We start from the raw sequence: 18789 nt of genomic DNA on the forward strand, positions 1-18789 counted from the left end.
AATCATTTCTCCTCATTTGTGGCATTAAGCCATATTGCTTATAATATGAAGAGCTGTTGACATCTTTCCTACCCATAAACATGACCATATGACCACCACTTATTCATATTTTCATGCATCTAAGTGCATAAAAAGGCAGTAAGTATATTTCTTAGAATATACCATTGAAAGCAGATTTTAAATCTACCTGTTTTTCTTAACTTCTGTTGGTTTTCTCCCACAGTTAAGGAAAGGAATAGTAATTTTTCATTTCATTCTAATCACACTAGTAATTTTTCACACTAATACAATGTCTAATATATTCCCACTGTATTAATCTGTTCTCACACAACTATGAAGAAATACCCGAGACTGGGTAATTTAAAAAGGAAAGAGGTTTAATTGACTCACAGTTCTGCATTGCTGGGGAGGCCTCAGGAAACTTACAATCATGGTGGAAGGCAAAGGAGAAGTAGGCACCTTTTTCACAGGGTGGCAACAGAGAGTGAGTGCAAGCAGGAGTAATGCCAGACACATATAAAACCATCAGATCTCGTGAGATTCACTCATTATCATGAGAACAGCATGGGGGAAACCGCCCCCATGATCCAATTACCTCCTTGATACATGGGGATTACGGGGGCTACAATTCAAGGTGAGATTTGGGTGGGGACACAGAGCCAAACCATGTCACACACCAAAGAAAAGTAGGCTGTGGTGCACAGCTGTTAAGTTTCCATAAAATCAGGGAAGACCATGAACATTTCAGAAGAGCACTCTTACTAAAGTTTATATTTGAATGACTGGCTGGAAATGCATCGATGTTCAGGGCTTCACCTGCTCTAAAAGTGCACACGTCATATGCCCACACTGTGTCTATCCCCTCCCTGGTTACATGGTCTGGGGTCCAGTGGGGGAAAGGGAACCGGCAAGCAATGACTCTGGCATCATCCTCAAGTTCAAGTTTCTTCTCCAACTGCAGCATCATCTGAGAGGCACACCAAAAATAAGTGTTTGAGTACTATGAAAAAGTAACTGCCCACAAATCTGAAATATAAAATTTGGCAGAGCCATGCACACTTTCTTGCCAACCGTGATACTTGGAATACCAAACTAGCCACGGATTTAATTCACAACCAACTGCTGTGAATCTTTCCTTTGCAGCTGTTATTACTGTGTTATTAATGTGTCCATCGCCATTACCAATGTCTACCAGGGATCCTCCTCTGCATAGCAACATTTTCACATTTTTTATCTGCTTTGTAGTTGCAGGTACAAAAGGCAAACAGACTTTTGAGAGGATTGGTGCTATAAATGGCATAGCTACAGCATACAGCCACCAGAGTCCCGCCCACAATCTCAATAAATAAAAACCCCTAGTTGCTTTTCTTCAAACGGTTGGCTTCAAAAGTCGAAGGTAGAATACGTCTTGACTGACTTTCTTCTTTAAGTGTTTCTAGGGATGTACCTCCCCCCACTCTTTTGGGAGTTTCTATCTTCTTTAAGCCACCATTACTTTGGGTTTCTGTCACTGTAGCCAACCTTATCCTGGCTAATCCTACCTAATGCACAAGTTTTTGAAGGTTTTCTTTGCAAATTATTAAGTTTTATAAATATGGATATAATATGTATATATAACATGATATTTGTGGATTGCATTATTTAAATCTTCTGTATACTTTTTTGTCTTCTTGATATGCAAATTATGAAAGAAGTTTATTAAAGAGTGACACTATGATGGTGGCTTTACCAATTTCTTACATTTTGGGGAAGATTTTGCTGTGTGTACACAAAACCATTATAAAATAGTCCTTTGCCCCATTTTAAACTTTGAGTTTTGATTTTTTCTGATAATACTATATTTGGTTTCTTACATTTTTATTTTTCTGCTGTGTCCTTCCCCACTTATTTATTTTCAAACTTCAGTTGTCACTTGCTTGAGTATTGCAGAATTGATCTCAGAGGATTCTGAAGGCTGATTTTTTTTTTTTTTTTTTTTTGAGATGGAGTCTTGCTCTGTCGCCCAGGCTGGAGTGCAGTGGCGCCATCTCAGCTACTGCCAGCTCTGCCTCCGGGGTTCATGCCATTCTCCTGCCTCAGCCTCCCAGGTAGCTGGGACTACAGGCACCCGCCACCACGCCCAGATAATTTTTTTGTATTTTTAGTGGAGACGGGTTTCACTGTGTTACCCAGGATGGTTTCGATCTCCTGACCTCGTGATCCACCCACCTCGGCCTCCCAAAGTGCTGGGATTACAGGTGTGAGCCACTGCGCCCGGCCAGGCTGATTTTTTTGAGGGATGCTAGACCTGGGAAATTGCCGTCAGCCTCACTCACTCTCATGGTAAGCATTCAGAAAATGTTGGGATTATTTTGCCTCTGATTTATGGGCAGTTATATAGCTCAGGTCTCTAGAATAGCCAGGTTGTGAGGCAATAGGCAGGGGTTGAAAAAAGAAGGAGATGAAAATCCTGTGAGAATGGTAAGGTGAGATTCCCTTGTGTAGCAGAATCTTCACTCAGTGCTGTTGATAAAAAACACAATTCTATTTCCCTATGGAAAGCTTTGGAGACTGGCAAGTCCACACCACCATTAGGTAGCATGTTATGTCATATCCTGCCTTTGTGCAATTGAGTCCATAAGTTTCCATATTATTTCCTATAAAAAACATTATATCCTTTAATAACATTGGCATTTTTTCCACCAATCACATCATCATTTTGTTAAGAAAGTCACCAGGTATGTCTTTTGCAGAGAACATGAAGCTAATTGCCGGATTTTTTTTTTCCTGTAGTATTACCACATAGTTACCATACCATTTAAAAAATATCTTGCTTATTCTTGGACAGCTCTGTTGAGATCTTTAATATGTTCTCATAAAGTATTTATTACTTCTCATTCATCACATTGAACATTTCTATGTGCCAGGTATGTATCAGTGAATAAAACAGAAAAAAAAATCCCTGTTTATACTACGGTGAATCGGGGGAAAAGATGTTGACTAAGAGAAAGATAATAAACATGGTAAATAAATACATTATATGTTAGAAGCTGATAAGTACTATGAAGGAAAAAACAGAGCAAGGTGAGAAGTGAGACATATAGTCACAAATTGCAACTTTACATTAGTAATCAGGATAAATGTTTTGGTTATTGTTGTGTAATGAACTACCCCAAGACTTTAATGGCTCAAAGCAACAACCGTTTTATTATATCACATGATTTTGTGGGTCAGGAATTTGGCTAGGGCTTAACTGTGCAATTCTTCCGTTCTACCTGGTGTCAACTGGTGGCTAAGCTGGGCTGCAAGATCCAACATGACTTCACTGGTCCAAGAGGGTTCAAGATGACTTCACTCACATGCCTGGACTTGACAGGGAGGACTAGAAGCCTAGGCTCAGCTGGGACCCTCTCCTTCCTCCATGGAGTGTCAGGATGTCTCCAGGTGGTTTCTAAGCACGGCATCAGACTTCTTACAAGGAAACTCAGGATTCTAAGGGTCCCAGGTGGAAATTGCTAGTCTCAAAGCTAAGTCCGCCAAACTCTATTGGTCCAAGCAGTCATACACCATCCATTATTCAAGGTGATGGGATATGGATTTTTACCTTGATAGGAGAAATGTCAAAAATTTCGTGGCTACACCTTCACCTAGTAGGCATCATTAGGAAGTGACATCTCACTAAAGACTTGAAGAAGGTGAGAGAATTGGCCAGGGGATATTTGGGAGAATAGAGTTGCAGAGAGAAAACAACAGGGCAACATTCCCTAGTCAGGATTGTGTCAGGCATTTCAATGTGACTGAAATAGAATGCGCAGGGGAAGAATATTAAAAGGAATATGAGAGAGAATGGGGAGGGGATGGATTCCCAGCAGATCCTGTGAGTCTTGTAGCCATTTAAGGACTTTGGATTTTACTATGAGTGAATGGTGGATCACTGAGAATTGAACAGAGGTATGACATATGACTTATCTTTTAAAAGGATTATTCTAGCTGATATGTTAATAGTCTGTTGCAGTAATTTAAGCAAGAGATCACACTTGCTTAGACAAGCATAGTAGAAATAGAGGTAGTGATGAGTGATTGGATTCTGGATTTATTAACAATTTGAAGGTTGATATAGGATTTTTAATGGCTTGAATGTGGAATGTGTATGATCAAGGGAAAAGTAGAGAATGATTGCAAATATTTTAGCCATACCTGGCCAGGTGCGTGGTTCATGCTTGTAATCCCAGCACTTTGGGAGGCCAAGGTGGGCAGATCATTTGAGGTCAGGAGTTTGAGACCAGCCTGACCAACATGGTGAAACCCCGTCTCTACAAAAACTACAAAAAAATTAGCCGGGCATGGTGTCGCGTTCCTATAGTCTCACCTACTCCGGAGGCTGAGGCAGAAGCACTTGAACCCAGGAGGTGGAGGTTGCAGTGAGCCCAGATCACGCCACTGCACTCCAGCCTGGGTGACAGAGACTCATTCTCAAAAAAAAAAAAAAAAAAAAAAAAATTTAGCCATAGCAGCTGGAAGAATTAATTTACAATCATCTAAATAAAGAAAATTCCAGATAGAGTAAGTTTAAGAGAAAAATTGAGGATTCTGTTTTGGACATGTTAAATTTGGGATGGATGTTAGCTATCCTAGCAGAGATGTCAAGCAGGAGCAAGGAAGAGAGAAGAGTGTGGAATTCAGAAGACACTCTTAACTGAAGATATTAAAAATATGACAGGTGTTCCATGTTCTTAAAGGCATAGACTGGATGAGATCACAGAGAGGCTGTGGTGTATTTCAGCATTAAGAGGGTGGAAGAAAATGGAATATCAGAATAGAGATGAAAAGAAGTACTGAATGAGGAAAGAGGAAAACAAAGAGTGTAATGAAATGGGGGGTCAAATCAAGGAAGTATTTCAATGAAAAAAGTGCCTCATCAAATTATGTCAAACTCTGCTCATAGGTCAAATACGATGAGAATTAGCAATTGGATATTGGAATCAACAGCACACACGTCATTGGCGACCTTGACAAGAGAGGAACTGGGGACAAAGAATACGGATAACTCTTTCAAAGAATTTTTGCTGGGAAAAATTCAGCAGAGTGGAAAAAACTGCAAGATAAGAGAAAGAGGGAAGAATTGATGGACAATGTTCTTGAATAAACAGATGGCTTGAGTCTAGAGCAAAATGAAGAAAATGGCTTTAGATGGGAGCTGTAGTGTAGTAACATGGGGAAGATAGAATCTACGGGTGCAGACTCAGGAACATTGGTTTTAGTAGATCTAATGCTAGGAACATGTGAAAATTCTAATTGTTGAAAGAAGAAACAATGGTGTCAGCTGGATATGAGGATCGAGGAAGAGGTGCTGCTTGGTTTGAAGAGAAAGGGGAAGGTGTAAACTATCATAGGAAAATGGGAGACTGAATAGATCAGGGAGTGGTATGGTTTGACTCTGTGTCCCCACCCAAATCTCATCTCGAATTGTAATCCCCACGTGCCAAGGGAGGGACCTATAATCCTCATGTATCAAGGGAGGAAGGTAGTTGGATCATGGGGCAGTTTCCCCCATCCTGTTCTTGTCATAGTGAGTGAGTTCTCATGAGATCTGATGGTTTTATAAGTGTTTGACTGTTCTTCCTTCGTGCTCTCTCTCCTGCCACCTTGTGCAGAAAGTACCTGCTTCCCCTTCCACCATGATTTTAAGTTTCCTGAGGCCTCCCCAGCCATGCAGAACTGTGAGTCAATTAAACCTCTTTCCTTTATAAAGTACCCAGTCTCAGGGAAGTTCTTTATAGCAGTGTGAAAACAGATTAATACAGGGAGATATACAGCATAACTGCTGGCAACATTAAGAGCCACTTGAGGTTGCAAACTACAAATCCTAAGCCCTGTACCAACTGAATGGACACCTACCTTGGCCAAGGGGACCCCAGAAAAGCCTCAAAGCAGTTCCCAGCTAAGATGGGACAGGAGGTTGGACATACCTCGTTATACCCTCTCCCTTTTGCAGTTTAGACACAATTCACCAGCATTAGTAAAATAGAGATCATAAGACTGACAGAACAGACTCTTCGTAGCAATAAGATACCAAATCATAAACAGGACCTAAGGCCATGTCAGGCAAGGGTTAAGTCATGCACCCCACATTTCCAAGAATAAACTATGTTCTAATGGCCACAAGGTTTTTTTCTCTAGCAGCTAAACAAGCACTGGCCTTGATAAGCAATATTAAAACAATTGCAGCTGATCCATTGCCAGACGCTGACTGAACCCCTGTTCCACCAGCCATAAGCACCGCTTTTATCAAACAGGAGGCAATTTCAGAAACTTTCTCCATGTAAAAAGACCACCAACTGGACCATGGGCTGGTTCTGGATGGTTTAGAGAGGTTGTGCCCTTGCATGCCTTCATGTCCTGAAAAGACCTTAAGTCCCCATCCCAAAGTGAACATGGGCCACATATTACATGTATGTTTGTTCAATAAAAATCTCAGGACCACCTTCATGAACATTCATAGCTCCTCCAGTAATTTGAATACATATGTTTAGCCAACTGTTTTGCATAAAGCTCTTACCCCAACCCCACCTTCTTTGAAGACCTTGTCTCTGATCTTGGCCTGAGGCATGCTTCCCAGCCTGTAGGATGGCAACTGTAATCCTTTATAGAAAATAAAAGTCTTCTTTTTTTAAAATTATATATTGTGTGTGGGTTTTTTTTTTTAATGTTTATAAAGTTCATGGCCATGAATTTAAAGTAGGACCAGTAAGCAGTTTTGTTTCTTCCTTCAGCCATTTTCAGCTGCACTGGTGCAGGTAAAGGATAGATCTAGAGTTGGATTTAACTAAGGTTGTGGTTTTGCCAAAGTAGGATGACAAAGTGAGAGAGGGCAAGGTTGAGGGCATATGCATGTAAATAATTTTATTTTTGGAGACAGGGTCTCATTGTATCACCCAGGAGGCTGGAGTGCAGTGGTGCAATCTCAGATCTTGGCTCACTGCAACCTCAACCTCCCGGGCTCAAGCGATTCTCCCACCTCAGCCCCCTGAGTAGCTGAGGCTACAGGTCTATGCCACCATGCCCAGCTAATTGTTTTGTATTTTTTTGTAAAGATGAGGTTTCAGCATGTTGCCCAGGCTGGTCTCAAACTCCTGAGCTAAGGTGTTCTGCCCACTTCGGCCTCTCAAAATGCTGGGATTACAGGCGTGAGCCACCATGCCCAGGCACAAGGAAATAATTATAATGATCAAATGGCAGGTAATTTGGCAAGAAAGTGAAGAGAGGACATCAAGAGGACAAGGGGCAGTGAAAAGTGGTAGATGAGTAGACTGGAATCCCCATGGAATAGGAAAACTGTTAAAGTCAGGATACTAGAGGAAGTGAAGTGGAAAGGAAGGTGGATGAGGTGGTGATCAGAGAGTGAGATGTACAAGGCCAAAATTATAGAGGTTGCAGCCGTTGTAATGACAAGGTTAGACTGTGACTATGAGTGCTAGAAGTAGGGTCGGGAGGAGTTTAAGGTGTTTAAAAGATCATTTATGTATTTATTGAAATCACCTAGAATATCAAAGTAGTAGTTTTGGTAAGATTAACAAGCCAGACTCTAAAATGATCATGAAATGAGAGGGAATGGGTGATAGAATGAAGGTCTCCTACTCCCATTTTATCTGCTGCTGCTATCTGTTGATAGGTTTTTCTCTCTTATCAACAGACATTGGCATTTTGCATCTTATGTACTTTTTCTCTACTGGAAGAAAATCTCAACTCTGGGGATCAGCAGTCTTTATCAAAATCCTAAGGCTCTCCTATGCCTCCTGATGTTTCAAATGTCGTTCACAAAGGCCCAGACTTCCTGTTTTCGGAACGCACCCCAGTTCTATAAGGAGTACCTTCAGCCTCAGAACAGTCACCTGATTCATTGGCTCTGGAGCCTACTTTTGTCAGAGGATCCACCCTATTTTCTCATAGTACAAACTTCTCTCACCAACAGCCACTTCCATTACCCTGAAGTCAAAAGCAGAAAGAGATAAGACACCTGCTCAGTTTGCTTATCACCAGCAATGCCATGGCAGAGTCTTAAGCACGACAGGCATGTTTACTAGATTAATGCATTAGGAAGACCATTCTGGTTACATTTTGGAAAACAGCTTAGAGGAGCAAGAATGGAGGCAGGGAGACAAACTAGGTGGCTACTGCTATAATCTAGGTTGAGACAGCTTACCTAGATTGATCTAGGCTGATGGCTGTGGAAAACAGGATAAAGACATTCCAACTTAATTCTAGTTTCCAGAACTCATGTTAATCTTTCTCATCTGGGGATTTGCAGTTAAACCTTCTGCTTAGAAAATTCTTCCTCATTGTTCAATTTCCACCTATGAGTAAGAACACGCGGTGTTTGGTTTTCTGTTCGTGTTTAGTTTGCTAAGAATGATGGTTTCCAGCTTCATCAACGTCCCTGCAAAGGACATGCATTCATCCTTCTTCATGGCTATATTCCATGGTGTATATGTGCCACATTTTCTTTATCCAGTCTATCATTGATGGGCATTTGGGTTGTTCCAAGTCTTTGCTATCGTGAATAGTGCTGCAATAAGCATACATGTGCATGTATATTTAAAAAATGATTTATAATCTTTTCGGTATATGCCCAGTAATGGGACTGCTGGGTCAAATGATATTTCAGGTTCTAGATCCTTGAGGAATCGCCACACTTTCTTCCACAATGGTTGAACACATGGACACATGGAGGGGAACCTCACACACAGGGTCTTGTCGTGGGGTGGGGGGCTAGGAGAGGGATAGCTTTAGGAGAAATACCTAATGTAGATGACGGGTTGATGGGTGCAGCAAACCACCATGGCACATGTATACCCATGTAACAAAACTTCACATTCTGCACGTGTATCCCTGAACTTAAACCGTAAGAAACAAATAAATGAAAGTTCTTCCTCACCCTTCTTGCCTAGCCCTTACTTTTCCTTTTGATTTCAGTACAGATGTGATTTCCTCTGGGAAACATTTCTTATGCCTCAAGAGCAGCTTGACTTCCCTGTGTGGCTATGGCCTCCTGTGCTTATCTGTATCAAGTAACGTCTTGCAATTATTTACCCGTATCCCAGTTTCTTAACAGTGGCATTGACATTCTGGATTAGCTAATTCTTAGTTGTGGGGGACTGTCCAACAAATAAGTTATTTGGCAGTATTCCTGGCCTCTACCCCCTAGATGCCAGTAGTACTCACCCTTTTCCTTCCTCCCACCTGTATAGTTGTGTTTGCCAAAATCATGTCTCCAGACATTGTCTTATGTCTCCTGGGGGCCAAAACTGCCTCCAGGTGAGAACCACTGACCTAGAAAAATGTATCATTTCCTAACAATTGCCCTACCTCTGGACATTTAGGTTGTTCCCATGTTTACTACAGATTTGAGATTAATGTTATATGCGTGAATCATCAATAATTCCAAAAAGTGAACTAAAAGGGTACATAAATCATACCAATCTTACATTTCCGTCTGTAGTTCCTGCATAGTAGATTCACCGTAACTTTTCAGTACTGAGCTTTCTCACATTAAAAAATACAAGGTCCACTCATTACAATTTTAAAAAAAATGAAACTCTTCTGGTTTATTTCGCTATCAGTGAGGATGGGCATCTTTTGAAGTATTTTACTTAATGTCTTTGTTTTTTAAATGGCTAGACTTCAAACTCTTCCAAACTCACAAAAAAATTCTAACACTTCTCAATTAAAATTCAAATGTTAGTGTTTACCATGTACAGTACTGTGGTCAGGGTACTAGGTGATAGATACTATAGTAAAAACAGAAATGGTGTCTGCTTTGAGAGTTTACATTCTAGAGAGGCATGGTCCAATATGATAGCCACCAGCCACAAGTGGTCATTGAATACTTGAACTGTGGCAAGTTCAAATTGAGAAGTGCACTGTAAGTGAAAAATAGGTGCTTGGTATGGGGAAAAAATATGAAATACCTAACTTTATACTGGCATGTCCATATGATAGGTTAGATATACTGGGTTAAATAAAACATGTTTCTGAAATTAATTTTGAATATACATATATATTTTTTATATATTGAAAATATCTTTTAACCAGTCAAGTGACTCTCTTAATATATTTTAAATGTTAAAGAATAGTGGGCAAAGCACAGGCACATTTGGTGGTCAATTTTTGTTAATTTTCTCTACTTATCTATCTTATCTATCTATCTATCTATGTATCTATCTATCTATCATCTATCTATCTAAAAGGAGACAGGATCTCACTCTGTTGCCCAGGCTGGAGTGCAGTGGCATGATCACAGCTCACGGCAGCCTCAAACTCCTGGGCTTAAGCAATCCTCCTGCCCCAGCCTCTGGAGTAGCTGGGATTACAGGTGCAAGCCACAATACCCAGCTCATTTAAAACATTTTTTATAGAGATGGGATCTCACTTTGCTGCCCAGGCCGGTCTCAAACTCCTAGCCTCAAGTAATCCTCCTGCCTCAGTGCTTGGGATTACAGGCATGAGCTACCACATCTAGACCACAAATAGTTTTTAAACTGTTCAAAATATTTAAAAAACATGTATGTAAAAGAACCTTGAAGTAACATTTATCAGCCACACCAGTTTCACAAAATCAGGTATTGCTACCTACTAGGTTGGTGCAAAAGTAACTGCGGTTTTTGCCATTAAACGTTAAAATGGCAAAATAAATAACTTTTGCACCAACCTATTAGTATGTATCAAACTGTAGAAAATTTCACTTTTAATTTTAAAAAATCTAACATTTATTTTGATGCTTACACTACAGTTTTACTCTAAATTAATGTTCCTTAAGTTAAATCACATTTAAGCAAAAAATTAGAAACTGGTTGGTTTCTACTTCCCCTATCAAGTTAAAACTCATTTACTTACACTTTTGTACTTCAGAAATGTGTCATCTCTACTTAAGGACACTACTATACAATAATCACAGCTATGAAGAATGAGATGAATCTAATGTATTAAGATGTCATAGATGATGTGAAAAAAGGCAAGTTATAGAATAGTGCATAAAGCAGAAACTATTTTACAGCCACATTTGTGTGTTCCTGTATGTACATGTGCATAGCACAAGACTGGGAAGAAAAATACCAAGTGTTTTTTAGTTGTAGATGGTGAGGAAGTTCTTTCATATTTCACATAATACACTTTTAACTCTTCTGTATTTTTTTATTGTTTCAATTGGGACATTTTTTAATTTACAAAAAGAATTTTAAAAACACGACAAAGATTGCCAATAAATACATTTTCATCACAAATTTAAAGGAACTTTTAAACTTTCCTCAGAAGCCATCATCTCCACAATCTTTTAAAACCTTTTATGATTGTGACAAAAAAAAGTATAAAAATTAAAATATACAAAACTGAAAACTGTTCGACTGTAACATTTCAGAGACTTATTTATTAAATTTTCTTTAGTACACGATTCTCATCTTAGTTGAGACAGGGTCCAGCTCTGCAGCCCAGGCTGGAGTGCAGTGGCATGATCTCGGCTCACTGCAACCTCCACCTCCTGGGTTCAAGCAATTCTCCTGCCTCAGCCTCCCAAGTAGCTGGGACCACAGGCGTGTGCCACCACACCGGGCTAATTTTTATATTTTTTGTACAGAGGGAGGTCTCACTATGATGCCCAGGCTGGTCTCAAACTCCAGGGCTCAAGCGATCCTCCCACCTCAAACCTCTCGAAGTCCTAGGATTACAGGTGTGAGCCACCTTGCCTGGCCTTAGAGAGACTTTTTTTTGAGACAGAGTCTTGCTCTGTCGCCAGGCTGGAGTGCAGTGGCGTGATCTCGGCTCACCGCAACCTCTGCCTTCCAGGTTCAAGCTATTCCCCCGCCTCAGCCTCCTGAGTAGCTGGGACTACAGGCGCATGCCACCACGCCTGGCTAATCTGTATTTTTAGTATAGACGGGGTTTCACCATGTTGGCCAGGATGGTCTTGATCTCCTGACCTTGTGATCCACCTGCCTCAGCCTCCCAGAGTGATGGAATTACAGGCGTGAGTGACCATACCTGGCCTACAGAGACCAGAGACTTTTAAAAGCAAAACTAGTTCCTGTGATGGAAAAGGGTGCTCTTCTCTAGATCTGAAATTTGACCCGACTGACAATTATAGGAAATACTTGGGTCAGTAAAACAACACATGGTCTGTTGCCCACCGAGCAGCTATCTTCCAAACTCCCTACAAACTCCTACCCACTAACTTCATCCAGAACCTGGAAGTTGTTCCCCTTTTTCCGAGCAGCTATTCATCAAGGGGAGATCATTTTTAATTTCAAGGGCAGGTCTTCATGGTCTGAGCCAATCATAGGAGCTTTATTCCCTTTGAAAAGTGATTGCTTTGGAGATAATACACATTTTGCTGTGGCCATGAGAGCAAGTGAATGGGGGCAGGTGAAACCTTCCTCTTATAAAAAAGAAAAAAAAAAGATATTTCAGCCTCTTATCATCCACCACCTGGAACCTTTGTGGTCACTTTGGAGCCATAAGGGGAGACATCAGACTCACTTGTTAAGAATGGCAATGAAAGGCAGAAGGTACTAAGGCTCTTGATGACACTGTTCAGCTGCTGAATTAGCCAATCTAGGAACTGCCCTCCACCTAGACTCCTGGTTCTCAAGCACCTCAATCCCAAAGATTCTACAACTGTTTTTGATTGCTAAAATAATCCAGACATATAATTTGAGGAAATAAAACGTTTATTGAGTAAATGTTTATTTAGTAACAGCAACACATAGTTTCTCAAGAAGAGGATGAACTGAAAACTCCTCTAAGGCAGGACGAAGCAACTTTCCATTATTCTTAGTTTAGACCAGAATCTTTAATTTTATATTCTCCTTTAATAACTGTCAAAATACACCAAATACTTAGAGGAAAATATTCACAGTATACCAAAACATTTTAAGATAAAGAGCAGTGTAAGAGTAGTATTCTCTACATACCACAGTATACAATGATGCCTTCCTGCAGGTTTAGAACTATTACTACTCAAAATATTAATACATTTATGCAAAATGATTGAGAAAATTGAAATACCTGCAACCTTTTCCAGTTTGACTTCAGGAACAGGTGCAAACCACCATCCTCTTCACAGATCTTCTGTTACGGCAACCATCAAAAACCATTGGTTCAGCTCTCAAATACTGATGACAATGCATGTGATGCATGCGTGCTCTGCTAAGTTTTGAACAGATAACATATTCTACAGCAATGCTCAAGCCCTGGATTATTTTTGCCTGACAAAAATAATATTCCAATATTCCCTGAAGAGGTTTTATAAAAAGGTTGAAAATGGCTGTTTTTCATAGTCAAAGCCAATTTCCTTTATTTTTTGAGACAGGGTCTCGCTCTGTCACCCAGGCTGGAGTGCAATGGTGCAATCTTGGCTCTCTGCAGCCTCAAACTCTTGCACTCAAGCAATCCTCCTGCCTCAACTTCCTGTGTAGCTAGGACCGCAGGCAAACACCACCACATCTGGATAATTTTTTAATTTTTTTGTAGAGATGGGGTCTCACTTTGTCACCTAGGCTGGTCTCAAACTCTTGGGCTCAAGCGATCCTCCTGCCTCGGCCTCCCAAAGTGCTGGGATTACATGCATGAGCCACCACACCCAGCCAATTTACTTTTTAATAGAATATACACTGTTGAATTCTATCTTCATGATTTTTTACAAGAGGTTGCTATAGTGTGCTATGTGTGTAAATATTCAGATCCTGTATATAAACTAATCAAAGGCTCCATGTCAGTTCTTAAGTTTGATATTTAAATGTCTGACCAGGGACCCTCCAAATAGTATTCACAGTATTAAAGGTGAGATAAATTTTCATTTCTATTTTTTCCTATCTTTTCAAAGTCCCATTAAACATCTGAAATTATTGGTAGAAATGAGGTGATAATAAATATTTTCTATTTAAGTCTGACATTGATTTGCAATCCATTTTAAACTGTTACATCTAATATGCTATTCTGTTTTTCTCATGAGTCTTTAATTGCTGGATATTTGAATAACACATTAATTTTTTAAAAAAAAATTTTCTGGTACCATTTTTAGACTTCTGTCTTTATATAATTTAGTTTGTAAAACCTAGTTTCATGTTTAATGAATTAAGAAACAACATCAGAACAGTTTAGCCAGATTTTAATAGGCAAAAAAGGGTTGCTTTGGCAATGGATAAAAGAATAACTGTTATAATACAAATCTTTATTTAATCTACTTTATTAAATATTAAAATGCAATAAGGCAATTATTGTTTTTAAGACACTTGAAATTGCATTTAATAAATGGATAACTGGCCCCACACCTGACATATTGCACCCCTACTTTTCTTCTCTACTCTAAGGAACCAAAAAAATTATTTTAAAAAACAAATCAGTGGTCTTTCTAAAAACATCTCAAAGAGGTTCTGACTACTACTAAGGTATTTATTAAATACAAATATCTGAAAAATAAGACAGCCAATAATATCTTTTAAGGTATTTCTGCTGTCTTTTGTTCTCTTAAATCTACTCAGAATGGTTCAACTGAAAGTATCCCAACTGAGGAATAAATAGGTGTAATTTATTGCTTAATTTGCCATCCAAGGCAGGGCAGTGATTCCCAAACCTGGCCTCTCGTCAGTATCATCTGCGAAAACTGCTGCAACACATTCCTTGGCCCCCTTCAGACCTAATGAAGCAGTCCCCTCCACTTCCAACCTCCACTGGGGAATATGTAGTTAGTCTTGCAGTCTAACACTTGGGATGGCTAAAACAATAAAGTTAAAAAGGAAGATACTTGTATTTCCACAGGTCCTAGCTCACAAACTGGGATCCACTAAAAAAAAAAGACATAAAATGTTGAATTGGCACTAAATGATCAGTGAGTAGGGTGATTGGGAAACAACTCTAGTACTAACAAACCAAATACAGCAGGCCCTGCTGCCCCATTCCATGGAAGTCAGCACCTTTCCTGACCCCAGAGAGCCCAGGCAAGCAAACTGATGTAGTGTGAGGGCTACAACTCAAAAAGTAAATGTTTCCACACCATTTCTCTCCATCTCTACTTCTCAATTTTCCATACACTCATTCCATCTTTTCTCTTACTCTGCCCTTTGCCATCCCCATTCTTACTCCTTTCTCTTTCCTCACCCCTTTTCTCACTTCCTCTCTTTTCCTTCTTTTTTGATTTAGTTACATCATTCTTTTCTTCTCTACTTTCTCTTCCTGAAAAACTCTTCCTTACATAAACAAATTCATACTGGAGATATATGTCAGAAAACATTCAGCCTGAGTAAACTGAACGCTCTGTACAGAAAACAACGAACAAAACAGAACTTCAACAGTAACACTGGCGTGGCATAATATAAGCCACGCAAAATGCTTCCAAATCCATTATCTCTTCTGAGTTTCATCTTGTGAGGTTTGAAGGGTACACTGATTGTACTTAAAAACCTAAGGCACAGAGAAGGGTAAATAACATGCCTGAGTTACTAAAAAGAGAATCCAGATCTAGTTCAAAATCTGGTCTTCTTTTCACTATACCAATAACATCTGACTGGAGGCAAGATGAGAGAGCAATGAGTAAGCACTAATGTTATTTCAGGGCCTTAAAACCCTTATATATTATGAACTACTCTTCATTAGAAAAAAGTATGCATTTTCTTAAAGCATAAATCACAATATATATTTTTAAAGGTTTCCCAAGTTCTTTTCTACTTCATACAAATGAAGTTTGACTGCATTTTAAAGGCATCCCACTTTGGTAATACTGTAGCCCAGAGATAGTTCTGAGGTCAGAATACATAGACTCAAATAATAAATCATGTAGTTTATATAAACTGCATAGATACACTATGTTTTATGAAAGACCATTTATATGAAGATGGAATACGTTCTCTAAGTTGTCCATCTATAATTTAACCTCTCATCAACTCCAAGAACTGCATTTCTTTAGAATTCAAAAGAATTACCTTGTCTAAAGATAAATTCAGAAAATTCATTTAAAAATTATTATACATATTTTGTGATACCTTTAATTTTAGGTAGAAACAGTACCCAAAAGACAGTTTTCACTATAATTCAATTTATGGTAAAATGATCAATTAGGTCAGGTCTAAATAAACCAGATGAAGAACCTTCCAACTGATCCACAATGTAGTGTGTGTGACAGTGTAAATAAGCCACAACATGAGTGAGACCACAGCATACAGTCCAGTTGGATTAAACTGTGACCACGCTCTACACAAGTCCCAATCAATTAGAGCCCATGGGGCTGAGATTCTCCGTTCACTGAGGAAATTTTATCTTATCAAACTTACTAATATAAATTCATATCCTGTCATTAACCCCAAATGCTTCCTCTAATATTTCAAAATCACATTTATAATCCACCAAACGTGCCAAGAATTGTGGTATCCTAACTTGAACTTTCAAGTTGGCAAAATAATTTCCAGTGGTTCTCAAAGTAGCTAACATCAAAGTCATCTGAGGTGATTGTTAAAAACGAAATCATCATGTGACTTATATTCTGTTGATTCTAACAAACCAACTAGAAGATGATTTTTGAGATAATCAGGGAAATTTGCTTAAGGACTGGCTATGAGATGAAGCCGAAGGACTGCTGCTGCCTCTGTTAGGTGTGATATCGTGGTATCTACCCAAAGTGTTCACAGCAGTGAAATAACACAATGTATGGGATTTTAAGATACTTAAGCAAACAAAAAAATGACAAATGAAGCAAACATGGTAAGATAGTGATAAGTGTCAGATCTGGATGTTGAGTACCAATGCACTATTCTAGTTTTGTGTAATTTTTAAATTTCTTCATTAAAAATTGTTTTACAGACTCCCTCCTAGACACAGCATGCCAGAGTCTCCAAAGGCCTAGCTCAGGAATCTATTCTTAAGCTCCCAACAAGAATCTTACATAGTCAGGCAGGCAATGATCATTATTTGAGGACCATTAGAAATGATCTAATACATACCCTCCAAACTTCACATTTTTAGTATTCTCATTTTCTACTCAGTAAGCTCAATTTCACAGTTTCTTATATTCACCATGGCATTCTGCCAAGGAACTACAACTCGTGTTCTCTAAACCCATCTGTTCTAAGAATGCTGGACTGGTTATCAACTTCTAATGCACCCTGCTTAAACTTTCCTCTCTCAATTTGTCCCTGACTGAACTGCAGACGACAGAACAACTGTACTAACCATCTCTTTCTGCATATTCCATGTCTCCACAGAGGTCACTGTGTCTTCACAAAGCTAACTGCCACAATTTTCACAGGTTGTATTTTTCCTTCATGATTTTCCATTTTCTACTTGAGCATTAAAATATCAGGGAGAAAAAGAAGATAACCATATAGATAATCATATTGTTGGTAAAATAAGATATGTGCCCCAGCATAGTATATGCTAAGTATTCAGAATCTATAGTTATATTAGCTAACAGGTCAAGAATGCCAAAGAAGTAATTTCTCAAGATTTAAAAAAATTAACTGTCTTAGGTGATATTCAAAAATGCACATCAACCCAATTAAAACCACATTTTCTACAGCTGGATGTAACAATCTTATTCCAAATCATCCACTTAAGTTGTTTAACTTACTTAAAGTAAGGCTCTAGACATTTGCTTCTTCAAAAGTATCTTGCAAGGCCGTTATGAGGTAGAAGACAAGTTTAAATGGACCATATTTTTCTACTCCATTGTAACTAAAATTACTACTCACAGGAAGTATATAGCTTATGCATTTTGGTCCATCACACTTTCCACCATCATGAGTATACTCTTAAGGTTCTCACTTTACCATCAGCATAATATATTTTGCTTCCAGAATGCCCAGTAAAGCTGACGTTTTTCATTTAAAGTGATTAAAAAAAAATTCCCCAAATATCTATTTAACAATCTTAGATCTGAGTTTTGGCAAGACAGTTTAATGCATACAAAATGAAACACTACATTTCTCACTCTCTCTCACACACAAACACGCACACACAGATTAAAATCCCAAAGTTTTCACTATTTTTCCTCTACCTTACACAGCTCAATTTTTAACATGCAGCTTACTTGTAATCTAAAAATAATTTTAAACATGATTGTCATAAAAATATTTTAAAACAGAGATGAAATGTATAAAGGCACACATAGATTGTCAATGGTTACATCAGTTACATCACATTTCTTCAGAAACAACAGACCTGTTTCTGCTCCTGTAAACAAACTTTTTTCTCACACTTTTAAAGTGAGGTTAGTGCTGACATAAAATTATTGCTCTACTCACAGTCTTGAGTGTTGGCACTGTTTGAGGTACATTTTCTCCATCTACACACCCCTACCACTCTTGAGAGTATGAGTCAACAGAAGTCTGCAGGTTAAACCCATTCAATAGTATTTTCATCAATACTGGAATGATAGCAAGTAACATTACAAAACATCAGAGATAAAAAATGTTCAATGTTGAGGCCCAAGATTTTAACTTATTCTTCATTACCTGAAAATACTGCTTACTTAACTTCTTTAGGAAAAAAAAAATTATTCTGGAGATGAGTAATTCCTTCCTGAATACTTCATCCAAGACGATTCCTTCACACTTATCTTCTGATTCTTTGTTTTCATCCATTTGATTAAGCAGTCACCAAGAATCACTTTTCCTTTGGTGATCTGGCATAACGATCTCTTACACTTTTTGCTAGTTGTTTGATAAATATTTTGTAAATTTTTCCACAGTATGTATGCACTGTTTTTTGTAGTTCCAGTTCTAAAGGTTTTAATAAGGAACGGATGTTGTCATCTTCAAAAGAACACTAGAG

At 38.8% G+C, this 18789-nt stretch overlaps 1 protein-coding gene and 1 pseudogene across 3 annotated transcripts in view; both read right to left on the reverse strand.

Annotated features, from left to right (window-relative positions):
* Window positions 1–768: 768 nt before the first annotated feature.
* On the reverse strand, window positions 769–18599 carry LOC101929308 (ATP synthase subunit C lysine N-methyltransferase-like; annotated as a pseudogene).
* Window positions 12681–18789, reverse strand: part of GXYLT1 (glucoside xylosyltransferase 1) — a 63030-nt gene continuing 56921 nt past the window's right edge. For all 3 annotated transcript variants that reach the window (NM_001099650.2, NM_173601.2, XM_017019211.1), the window contains one exon: window positions 12681–18783. In NM_001099650.2, coding sequence (NP_001093120.1) covers window positions 18622–18783 — 162 coding nt within the window. In that variant the 3' untranslated portion in view covers window positions 12681–18621. The remainder of the gene's footprint in view (window positions 18784–18789) is intronic.

This window comes from Homo sapiens, chromosome 12, assembly GCF_000001405.40.
Source record: "Homo sapiens chromosome 12, GRCh38.p14 Primary Assembly".
In the NCBI taxonomy this organism is placed as follows: domain Eukaryota; kingdom Metazoa; phylum Chordata; class Mammalia; order Primates; family Hominidae; genus Homo; species Homo sapiens.